Source organism: Homo sapiens, chromosome 11 (genome assembly GCF_000001405.40).
Source record: "Homo sapiens chromosome 11, GRCh38.p14 Primary Assembly".
Classification (NCBI taxonomy): Eukaryota; Metazoa; Chordata; class Mammalia; order Primates; family Hominidae; genus Homo; species Homo sapiens.
Genome location: NC_000011.10, coordinates 17,826,592 through 17,839,229, shown reverse-complemented (window position 1 = coordinate 17,839,229; position 12,638 = coordinate 17,826,592). Strand labels below are relative to the sequence as shown.

The following is a 12,638-nucleotide window of genomic DNA, read 5'->3' as shown; positions in this document are numbered from 1 at the left end:
AGAGGCTGCTTGCTGCCTGCAAAATCCTTGACACCCAAGGCAAAATTCTGGCTTCATATGTCACCATCTAGCATACCTGAACCACTCCAACTTGAAGACATTTGTCCCTGTTCAGGGTATCCATCATAGTCATCACGGTTCCATCTGTGTACACAATAAAGCTCTGTATTTACCAGTTATTTTATCTGCCTAGCCTCCCTGTGGGCTCTGTAGGGCAGGGTTCTTGGCCCTTTTATTCAGATTAAGAGAACATGGCTCTGCAAGGTGCAATAGTTTGTCTTAGGTCACCCAACTAATTATTGGCAGGGCTGTTTTTCAAATCCTGGTCTTCTAAGGGGCAGCCTGACATAATGTAAACACCATCCAGCATTTACATCCCACCAATGGCACTCATGAGCTGTATGACCTTGTGCAAGCTAGTTATTATAAGTAGTTATTGATATTAATAATTAGAGTAGAATTTACAAAGCACCTGGCATGGTAGTAGGTGCTCTACACCGTATCTCGTTTTCATTCTCACACTAGACCTGTGAGAGGGGTTTTATTATTATCGGTTTTACAGATAAGCATCCTGAAATTCAGAGTGCTAAAGTAGCTTTCCCTGTCTGAGCCCCAGTTTCTCTATAAAATAAGAATATTAATATCTCCCTGGGAGGGTGATGATAAGGGCTGAATGAGATAATGTGTGTAAACTGCCCAGCACAGAGCCTGGAATAGAGGAGGTGCTCAGTCAATACTTGTTTCCTTTCCCTAGTTCCTCCTCTGACTTCTAATCTAGTGGTCTTTCTACTGCACCCCACTAAATACATTTGGAAGCTAAGGTCATGCTTAAGTCCTCTCCATAGCTCTCTCTATCACACTCTTCCCTACTGCCCAGAGGCCACTTCAAGTCTCTCTGTCAGATACCGCCTGTTTAGTTTTATGCCAGTTCAGGAAACATCATCCTTCCCTGGCATGCTGCACCCCTGACATTTGCCCCAGGGCTGTGTTCTGGACCGCTAAAGCCTACCCTGGCCTCTCTAGCCACAGGGCTTTCTTCTTTCCTAGCTTTCTCTAAGGCAAAAACAGGTTGCTTCCCTTACTTTGACATTTTACCTGGACTCTTTCGTGTTGTTATGTTGTGCTTCATGAGAGGCCACATATGGCACCCAGGTCTTCTGACTTCTAGTGTTGTGCATGCCCTGAAGGTTACTATCTTCGTCTATTTGGTGATTGTATCAAGGAATACCTAAGACTGGGTAATTTATAAAGAAAAGAGGTTTATTGGCCAGGCACGGTGGCTCACGCCTGTAATCCCAGCACTTTGGGAGGCCGAGGCGGGTGAATCACAAGGTCACGAGTTCAAGACCAGCCTGACCAACATAGTGAAACCCCCCCATCTCTATTAAAAATACAAAAATTAGCCGGGCGTGGTGGCAGCACACACCTGTGATCCCAGATACTCAGGAGGCTGAGGCAGGAGAACCGCTTGAACCCGGGAAGCAGAGGTTGCTGTGAGCCAAGACAGTGCCACACTGTACTCCAGCTTGGGCGACAGAGCAAGACTCTGTCTCAAAAAAAAAAAAAAAAAGAAAGAGGTTTACTTGGCTTATAGTTCTGCAGGCTGTATAAGAAGCATGGCGCCGGCTTCTGCTTGGTTTATGGTGAGGGCCTCAGGCTGCTTCCACTCATGACAGAAGACAAAGGGGAGCCAACATATGCAGAGATCACATGGTGAGACAGGAAGCAAGAGAGAGGGGAGGTGCCAGGCTCTTTTTAACAAGTAGCTCTCCCAGGAACTAATAGAGTGACAACTCACTCCCCACAGAGGGCATCCAACTATTCGTTAGGGATCTGTCCCCCTTTACCCAAACATCACACTTCAGGCCTGTACCTCCAATATTGGGATCAAATTTCAACATGAGGTTTAGGGGAACTCATTCATTTGGCTTTCAATAAATATTCATTTATTTATCACTTACTCAGCCAGACCCTGTGTTAGACAAAATAGTAAGTGCTGTAGTACTCAATTAGTATAGATCAAATTAATAGCTAGTTTCAGCTCCTAAACTTGGGGATGGGGGTGTGGGGTGTGGTAAGGAAGAAGAGAAGGGTATTACCTGGCAGTGGGTGGACGTCAGAGGTAATAGACCTGACTGCCAGGATGTACCTCCATAAATTTGAGGGACTATAGATAGCGGCTAGTTCTTATACCTCTAAAAGATAGCTTGGAGAAGTGAAAAGGGGAGCTATTTCTGAATGATTCATTCATTCAGCAGTCTTTTAGCAAGTACTTTATCTGTGGCTGGTGTTCTGCTGGTGGTGAATAAGATAGGGCTCTGTTCTTTTGGACTCCCCTTGTCTCTGGAGAGGTAAACTTGTAGATAGGTGAATCTCAGTGAGTGGTATAATGGCAAAGAAGAGTCCAGGGAAGGTGGGAACTTCGAAGGACGGGACTTACTTTTCATAGGGGAAGTAAGGGAAAGTTTCATAGAGAAACTGCACCTCAGAAGGGGATTAGGCAAGAGAGCATTCCAGAAAAGGGAATAACACTTGAAAAGGCCCAGAATCCTTAAGGAAAGGAGTATATTCAAGAAACAGAAAACAAGACAGTGTGTTTAGGAGATATGCACTGATGTGTTACATTATTGGTTGTACCATGAAGGTCTTTGTGTGGCATGTTGAGGGTACTGGACTTAATCCTTTAGGCATCAGGAACCAATAGAGGTCTTAAAGCTATAGTCTAGTTGATGGAAAGAAAATAGCTGTTCTATTGAATACTAACCAATCAAATCCCCATTTTCTACTGAGTCTGGATGCAGCCTCAGAAATATTCTCATGAAGGAGGCATGAAAGTATGAGGCTTTCAAGTAAGCCCAGTCCAGTAGACCTTGAGTGGATGCCCTTGGCCCATATACCTGTAGTGATCCAGTAAATGCAAGGCCTTCTTGCCCAATGGACATTGGTCCTTTTCTCCAGGAAGCTCTTCTGAACAGAAAGTCTAGCTCTTTTGAAGAGGATAAAATGTGCTGGGCTAAGGAATCAGGAAGTAGCTATTAGTCTGTAACCTCACTGGTGGCTGTGATTGTCTTTGCCAGCTCTGTATCCCTAGAATCCAGCACAAAACTTGGCACATGGTATGTGCTCAGTGATGTTTGCTGAATAAATAACAAGGAAAAGAAACTAATCAACTCTCTACCTAACCAGTCAACCATCCAACCTGGGTTCTAATTCCAGCTCTTAAATTTTCATTCTCTCAGCTATACAACCACCTGGTTGTTCTCTAAGGCCTTTCACACCCTAGGATTGTAGGATGATGAATAGTTCAGAGCAAGCCCAGTTATCATTTATAATTCTAATATGCCTCAAATTTAATCAGAATAAAATATCAAAACCAGCACTACTTTACAACATTTCAGATATGCCGTCTAAAAACAGAACCTGCATCTGTCTCAGAGTTGTGAAGAAAATGTATTAAGTTATATTAAACAGCAAGATTGTCCTTTTTGTAGGAAAAAAATAAATTAAATCTTGTCTTCCTGACTGGGGATTTTAATTGGGATTTGAGTCAATTTGATCCAAATTTGAGCATCCATCCAGAGAACATTTATTGACATCTGCTATGAGCAAGGTTTTGTGCTAGGCATGAGGGAGATAGGAAAATGAATAAGATACAGGTCCTTCCAGGCAGGAATTGATGGTGTAGTTAGGGAGATATAACATATACATGCTTGACTCTGACCCAGATGGACAGAGAATAAGCAGAGACAGTCCAGATCCAGGGGTAGGAGTGTCGGAGGAGGAAATCCCTTCCAAGTACACCATATATGTAGGAAGTCTGCCTCTTACCACCACCCTAGGGCTCAGAATTTAGACGGAGCTATTGTGGCTATGAGGATGTGCTCTGTGGATTGTGCTCTGTGCCATGCAACTGCCTGGAGCTTACAGTCATCCTCAGCCATCAAGTTGAGCACCTCAGCCCAAACCGGTATTGGCAACGAAAATCATCTTAGGCCTTAATGAACAGTGTGCACATACTACACTGCCAAGCTTGGTAGCATCTTTTTGTGGCTTGTATCCTTGGAGTTGATTTCCAGAAAAAGTTGTTCACTGTAACAGGAATTTGTATTTCTTGTTTTATAAGACTGGAAACTATTAATAATATTTGTCCAATGTGTGCTCTTCTCTGCCTTGGCTGCCACTGAAATTCAGGACCTAGCTAAAATGGGATCATCCACTTTCCCAACATTTATCCAACAATTATTTGTTAAGTGATTCTCTGTGCAAGGCCCTGTGCTAAGTGGGTAGGAGACACACACAGGCTATGCTCTCAAGGAGCTGACAAAAGATGTGTGAACCAGGCCGAGGGGAACCGAAATACCAGCTGAGAGAAGTACTAGAGGGATCAGAGCAGAAAAAGTTTGATTTTAGCCTATGGGCACAAAGAGAAAAACGTAAAAGAGATCCATGTGATTTGGACCTCAAAAAGGTAGGAATAGTACACATTGAAATAGGTGTAGTAGGATTTCTAAAATAAAATAATGACCAAAGTATTGAGGAAGCAAAAAACTTCAGGCTTGTTTAGGAAAGTAGGAATACTTCAGTTTGGCTAAGGGGAACAGGCTTAGAAAAGGTTAGGATCAGATCATCACAGAGGGCCTCCTCCTCAGATGTTCCAGGGTAAAGCATTTATATATTTAATTCTATGGGCAAAAAGATGCCTGCTTAAAAACTTAATAAGTTTAATAAGTTTTTAAGCAGGTGTGAGTTGGAAAAATCCTAGAGTTGGAAAGGATTTTGGATATAACCTAGTTCAGCCTCCATCTGTATTAGTACGTTTTCATGCTGCTGATAAAGATATACCCGAGACTGAGCAATTTACACAAGAAGGAGGTTTAGTTGGACTTAACAGTTTCATGTGACTGAGGAAGCCTCACAATCATGATGGAAGGCAAGGAGGAGCACCTCACATCTTACGTGGGTGGTAGACAGGCAAAAAAATGAGAGAGCTTGTGCAGGGGAACACCTCTTTTTAAAACCATCAGATCTTATGGGACTTATTCACTATCATGAGAACAGCATGGGAAAGACTTGCCCCCCTGATTCAATTACCTCCCACCAGGTCCTTGTCACAACACGTGGGAATTCAAGATGAGATTTGGATGGGGACACGGAGCTAAACCATATCATTTCACCCTGGCCCCTCCCAAATCTCATGTGTCCTCACATTTCAAAACCAATCATGCCTTCCCAACAGTCCCCCAAAGTCTTAACTCATTTTAGCATTAACTCAGAAGTCCACAGTCCAGAGTCTCATCCGAGACCAGGCAAGTCCCTTCTGCCTATGAGTCTGTAAAATCTAAAGCAAATTAGTTACTTCCTGGATACCATGGGGTTACAGGCATTGGGTAAATACAGTCATTCCAAATGGGAGAAATTGGCCAAAACAAAGGGCTACAGGCCCCATGCAAGTCCAGAATCCAGCGGGGCAGTCAAATCTTAAAGCTCCAAAATGATCTCCTTTGACACTGTGTCTCACATCCAGGTCACTTGATGCAAGAGGTAGGTTCCCATAGTCCTGAGCAGCTCCACCCCTGTGGATTTGCAGGGTACCGCCTCCCTCTTGGTTATTTTCACGGGCTGGGGTTGAGTGTCTGCAGCTTTTCCAAGCACACAGTGCAAGCTGTCATTGGATCCACCATTCTGGGTTCTGGAGGATGGTGGCCGTCTTCTCACAGCTCTACTAGGCAGTGCCCCAGTAGGGACTCTGTGTGGGGAATCCCACCCCACATTTTCCTTCTGCACTGCCCTAGCAGAGGTGCTCTATGAGGACCCCACCCCTACAGCAAACTTCTGCCTGGGCATCCAGGCTTTTCTATACACTTCTGAAATCTAGACGAAGGTTCCCAAACCCCAGTTCTTGACTTCTGTGCACTTGCAAGCTCAACACCATGTGGAAGCTGCCAAGGTTTGAGGTTCGCACCCTCTGAAGCCACGGCCCAAGCTCTACGTTGGCCCCTTTCAGCCAGTGCTGACAAAGAGCACCAAGTCCCTAGGCTGCACACAGCACAGGGACCCTGCTCCCAGCCCACAAAATAATATTTTCCTCCTAGACCTTCTGGCCTATGATGGAAGGGGCTGCTCTGACATGCCCTGGAGACATTTTTCCCCCTTGTCTTGGGGATTAACATTTGGCTCCTCGTTACTTATGCAAATTTCTGCAGCTGGCTTGAATTTCTCCTCAGAAAATGAGATTTTCTTTTGTAGTGCATTGTCAGGCTGGAAAATGTCAGGTGTTTTCCAAACTTTTGTGCTTGGCTTCCCTTATAAAGCTGAATGATTTTAACAACACCCAAGTCACCTCTTGAATGTTTGCTGCTTAGAAATTTCTTCCGCCAGATACCCTAAATCATCTCTTTCCAAAGTTTCACAAATCTCTAGGGCAGGGACAAAATACCGCCAATCTCTTTGTTAAAACATAACAAGAGTCACTTTTGCTCCAGTTCCCAACAAATTCTTCATCTCCATCTGAGACCACCTCAGCCTGGATTTCATGTCCATATCATTATCAGCATTTTGATCATAGCCATCCAGCAAGTCTCCAAGAAGTCTCTAGGGAGTTCCAAACTTTCCCCACATTTTCCTGTCTTCTTCTGAGCCCTCCAAACTGTTCCAACCTCTGCCTGATACCCAGTTCCAAAGTCACTTCCACTTTTTCGGGTATCTTCAGCAGCAGCCCACTCTACTGGTACCAGTTTACTGTATTAGTCCATTTTCACACTGCTAATAAACACATACCTGAAACTGAGCAGTTTACCAAAGAAAGAGGTTAAATTGGACTTACAGTTCCACGTGGCTGGGGAGGCCTCACAATCATGGCGGAAGGCAAGGATGAGCAACTCACATGTTATGTGCATGGTTGCAGGCAAAAAATGAGAGAGCTTGTGCAGGGGAATGCCTCTTTTTAAAACCATCAGATCTCATGAGACTTATTGACTATCATGACAACAGCACGAGAATGATTTGCCCCCATGATTCAGTTACCTCCCACCAGGTCCCTCCCACAACGTATGGGAATTCAAGATGAGAGTTGGATGGGGACACAGCCAAACCATATCGCCATCTCACACATAATGACAGAATCCCAAAAGGGGAAGTTGCTAACCCAAGGTCAGACAACTAGTTAATGATGGTGCTGGAGCTGGGGCCAGAACCAGATCTTCTAGCTTCAGATATAGTGGACTTTTTACACTCTGTGATGAAACCTATGCTCTGGGGAGATTAATGAGGCTTTCTAGGGGAGGTAGTTTGAAGGAGAGGCAAGAGTCAGGGAGAGCCTTGAGATGTTTTTACAGTTCAGATGAAAGGTAATGCACAAGGTCTTTAATTAGGGCTTTGGAAGTGGGCTGATGAAGAAGGGGCTGATGGGAGAGAACATAGAGGTCCAGTCAGCAGGACTTGGATGTGGAAGACAGACAAGAGGGAAACTTACCCTGTCTTCAGTTATTGTTCTTTACTGAATTGTCCATTTGGTAGGCTATCTCAAAGTGGAAAAGAAAGGGTATAGAGCCAAGATAAATACATCAAACACTTCCAGTATTTCCCCAAATGAGCCTCTTTGCAATTGTTGTTGTTGTTCCTCTTCCCTAGAAGGCCTAATTCTTTTCCAGAACCTGGCCTTCCAGCTCTTAAGTCCTCAGAAATGGGATCCATTTGCCAGCTACTATTCTGGCTTCATGATTTTACTCATGGGCTCTTGGAACTGCCCTCATTGTCTGAGTGTGTCCCTGGTTTTGGCTTTGCCACCAGGCCCCATGAAAGTGCCATACATGTGACTTGCCTCCCATCCTGTGACTCTAGGTTTGAAACCAAAGCCCTGAGACAACCTGCAACCCGTGCTGACCTCCAGAATAGGCCAGGCACCCAGCCTGAAGGAGAGTGCTGGACTGGACTTTAATTGTGTAGGGGTCTTGCCCCAGGTCTGTAGACCACTTGCATCAGAATCACCTGGGGAATATTAAAATGTGGGTTTCTGGGCTCTATCTCATCCTGCTGAATCAGAATCTCTGGAGGTAGGTGACAGGAACTTGTAGTTTTGACAAGTGCACCAAGTGATTTTTATTTACCTAAAGTTTGATTCTGCCTTAGATAGTTTTTTTTCCTGGACCTCAGTTTCCTTGTTTTAAAATAGGAAAATTATATATTCAGTTTACCGTGAAAATAGAAAAGTACTTTGGGAAGATGCTAAAAGTTTATACATATTTACTTATCACATATTATTAAGTTTACAGTCTTGAGATAAAGAAAATTTGAAATATTTCTTAGACTGAAATACACTGAAAACCAGTAAATGGTCTGAGTACTCACACTTAGAAAATGTATGCTTACTAAGTGATACGGTTTGAATGTTTGTCCCCTCCAAAATTCATGTTAAAACTTGGTCATTATAACAGCATTAAGAGGTGGGACGTGTAAGAGGTGTTTAGGTCTGCCCTTATGAATGGACTAATGCTGTTATGGAGGGAGTCGGTTCATCCTGACTTACTCTTGCATGTACATGTGCTCTCTCTCTCTCTCTCTCTCTCTCTCTCTCTCTCTCTCCCTCCCTCTCCCTCCCCCTTTCCCTCTCTCTCTCTCTCTCTCTCTCTCCACCTCTCTCCCTCTCCCCATCTCTCTCCCTCTCTTCCTCTCTCTCTCCCTCTCTCTTCCTCTCTCTCACTCTCTTGCCATCTACCATGTTACGATGCATCAGGAAGGCCCTCACCAGATGCTGGCACTTTGATATTAGACATCTCAGCCTCCAGAACTATAAACCAATAAACGTCTATTATTTATAAATTATCCAGTCTGTGCTATTCTGTTATAGCAGCACAAAATGTACTAAGACACCAAGTGAGTGAATATATGAATGAATAGCTCCAGGAAAGGCAAACCCTGAAGAAAGGTCATTAACTTTTTCTTCAACATCCCCTACTTCATGCATTCAATCAGCATTATTCACTGAGTGCCTAATATGTGCCAGGGCACTATGCCAGGCTGAGAATATAAATAGGATGTGGTCCTTGACCTTAAGGGATTGGAGATCAATGTGAGTGTTCAATACAGTGTGATAAGCACTGGCCCCAGGATGGGTAGAGAGGTGGGTATTAGTGCTTTGGCAACCAGAGCAGAAATCACCTCTATCTGAGCCTGTCAGGAAAGGTGTCACCAAGGAGTTGGCCTTGGAGTATAGGATTGTTCCAAGAAGGAGGAAAGCCCTTTTTACAGTCCTTGTCACTGGCTTCCTTCTTCCATTCCATTAAATTCTGTCATCAATTTCCTCTCCTCCTCCATCAAACTAATCTCAGGAACTCAATGTTTATGTGTTTTTTGTTTTCTTTTTCAACCTACCCAAATCTGCTTTTATACTCAAAACCAACACTTAGGTTTAGTCATAAACACTTGGTCTTAAAACAATGCTTTTTTGAGGATCAGGGTAGTTTACATTGTCACCCCTAAAAGTTTTCATCTGAAATAGTTTTAAGCTCTATTAGGGATTTTGTTTGTAGGTTTACTTTTTCACAGCTGATAGGAGGAGTGTTGCAGTTTGTTGGTTAGTAGTTGTTGGATTTTTTTTTGGGTGGTGTGGGGAGAGGATTGGTGACAACTGGTTTACCCCAGCTCCTGTTATTTTACTAGATAAATAATCACTATTTTGCTTACCCATAAAGAATCAAGGGTTAATTCATGGTCTTCTTTGTGTTTTAAGGTAAAACGATAATGGTTAATGAATCAGACTTTAAAGTGGCATAGCCCTTTACAACTTACAACATGTCTTGACTGTTCATGTTCTTCTTTTCTGGTCAAAAGGTGGTCCACAAACCAGAGGCAGGGAGGGAGACGCTAATTAGAAATGGAGAACCTCAGGTACTACCTAAGACCTGCTGAATCGGAATCTGCACTTTAGCAGTATTCCCTGGTAATTTTTATGCACAATAAAGTTTGCAAGAGACTATAAAGTTAGTGGTTTGTCCGATTTATTGATTAGGACATTGAAGTCTGGAGAGATTAGGGAACTTACCCAAGGTCACGTAACAAGTAGCAGAGCCAGGCCTCAAGCCCTGGTCTATCTGATTCCAGTTCAGCACTTTGTCACTGTCCTACTAGGTTTCTTTGTGCCATATTAACTGGAAAACACTTCCTCTGTGATTGATTCATGGTTGTGAAGAAGGAAGAAAGTAACAATTTTTCAAAGTATAAATGTATCTTCTTGGGAGTTGCAAGGGACTAGAAGAGTTAACGGGGAGCTCACAGGCTGAACCCTGACTTTATGCCAGACACTTGGACAATTATACACAGGAAGCCTTGTTCCCATTTTACGGATGGTAAGAACCCTCAGTATTTTCCTGACCTTGATGAGCCTGTAGGGACTCTCGGGGAAGCAGGGGTTGAATGTCGTATTTAAAGCTCAGGCACTAGGACTTTCTGGGTTGGAGGTGAAGGAATCAGATGTTGGACATTTCTTTTCATCCTTAAAATAAGATTCTCTTCTGGTATGAGGCTTTGACTAATCAGGTTGGGTGGCTGCCCACTTCTTCTGGAGTCAGGAACTTAGGCTTTGGCCACCAGGAACTCCTCTTGATTTATGAACAACTCTGTCTTGTAGAGTAAAAGCGGTTTTCCCAAAGAGGAAAAAATAGCTTAAAAGAAGGCCTTGAAGAATCAAGATGACAAAATGTATTATTTATAAGGACCTAAAATAAGTGCCAGATCCTCCACTTGAAGTGAGCAGGCGACAGCCGTGCGCTGTGTGGAGTAGAGCCCAGCTGACTCCAGCTGGATCCACACGGCAGGGCTGGTCAGCCACAGCTCTGCTCACTATTCCAAGGCTCTTCTCGGAAAGACTCCTGCTGCCGGTGCAGGCCATCTGTGGAGCTCACATGAATGCGTACCGGCTTACAAGCTTAAAGAGAAAATTCTTGAAGGAAGCTGGAGGAAATGCAGTGAGAATCTGTGGATTGGTAGAAAGAGGCCACAAACACACACTCATACCTGTAACACACACGCATGTAAGATTACATCAACTTCCCGACTTACTCACTCAAGGATACAGACACGTTTTGAGAGTGAGGAGTCCAGGCAGCACACAGTAGATACGGGGTATCTCAACTCCGCCTTCACTAGCCCCTAGCTCCCTAGTGGAACTTGCAGCTGCAGGTAACACCATCCATGCAGAATAGAGTTCTGTTGCATCCAGGAATCAGCCCCTTCTTGCTGCATCACAGGCCTTTTTCACTCAAGGCTTGTCTCATCATTCTTGAAGAACTTAGTGCTGCTATGTTTTCCTTTAAGAGAATGTTCACAAACATTTCTTATACAAAAAGCTCTTCCACTTTTTGAAGCAAACTAATGGTCAGCAAGTCTACATCTTTATCCAGTGGGGAAAAATACAGATTCAGTGTCTAGGAGTCTCTGATCAATAGCCAGCATTGCAGAAAACCCATTTCCTTGCCACTCATCCTTTCACTCTGGCCTAATACCTTTGTTATCTGGAAGTTCGTGATACTGAGTTAGACCTGAGGATCATTTCCCAAATCTGTTTTTCTGGAGGGCAAGATTCAGTGATGCGGCGAGAGGTAACTGAAGAGTAGGAGGTGATGCCGAGGGATTTCTGAGGGCACCCAAGGCAAGTAGGAGATTGTGCTGCAGCTCCAGAACTGTTACAAGTCTTACCAACAGAACAATAGGCTAGGATTTGAACATACACTGCAGATTTCAGAGCCTTCTCACCGAACTCTAATTATTCCTGTGTCATTGTCTTTCTCTTCCTCTTCAAAATTTCTCTTCTGGGATATGGTGACTACACTGTGGGGAGAAATGCTTTTAGTAGCTCTTTCTGTATTTGGAGCTTACTTTGTGTTCTCTGTTGGCTGATGGCTCCCTCCCCAGCCATAGGAGCTGATTATGATCCAGCGGCCCTGATGCAGTCCCCTGGCAGCATCAACCTGGTTTTGCCTCTGGTTCTGATCTCAAGGACCCTCCAGTTTCCTCTTATCATAATGGTTGCCCCTAGAGGGCAGGATTCAATAGGCTGAGAGGTTTACCTACATGCCCTGGCAGTACAGGGAGCCTTCAAGAAGATGGATATCTGACCTTTCTACCCCCTACATCCCAATTCAGAATAATAAAATCTCAGGCTTGAGATAAATTTTCGGCATTTTAAAATCCAGGCATCTATTTAATATTTGAACGAGAGGCGGCGTGGTATAGAAGAAAGAACACTGGCTGAATTCAAATCCCATCTTCACCACTTTCTAGCTGTGTGATCCTTATAAGCAAGGAATGCCTTGCAGGGCCCTGCTGGAGAATAAAGATAATCTAGGTAAAGTCCTGACATATATGATATGCTTCATAAGTAGTAAGTACCATTGTCCTGTAAACCAGAGCTTTCAAACTTTTTCCTTCAGAACACTTAAATTCTTTCACATATTCTCTATCATATATGATGTTTAGATTCCTCACAGCCCTGGTTACTTTATTTGTTATTATTATTACTATTGTTACTTTTATTGTAAAATATATATGACATAAATTTATTATTTTAACCATTTTAAGCATGCAGTCTAGTGGCATTAAATACATTCACATTGTTGTGAAACCATTATTACCATCCATCTCCA

General features: G+C 43.5%; 1 protein-coding gene across 3 annotated transcripts in view, besides 1 other annotated feature; it reads left to right on the top strand.

Annotated features, from left to right (window-relative positions):
• SERGEF (secretion regulating guanine nucleotide exchange factor) overlaps positions 1-12,638 on the top strand; it is a 225,000-nt gene that overhangs the window by 173,818 nt on the left and 38,544 nt on the right. The window lies entirely within an intron of this gene.
• Positions 5,506-6,006: an enhancer, noted in NCBI's record as "H3K27ac hESC enhancer chr11:17854771-17855271 (GRCh37/hg19 assembly coordinates)". NCBI's record gives its function as "activates a minimal SCP1, AML or CMV promoter by ChIP-STARR-seq in primed H9 embryonic stem cells {active_cell/tissue: H9 hESC(primed)}" and the evidence as "EXISTENCE:reporter gene assay evidence [ECO:0000049][PMID:30033119]".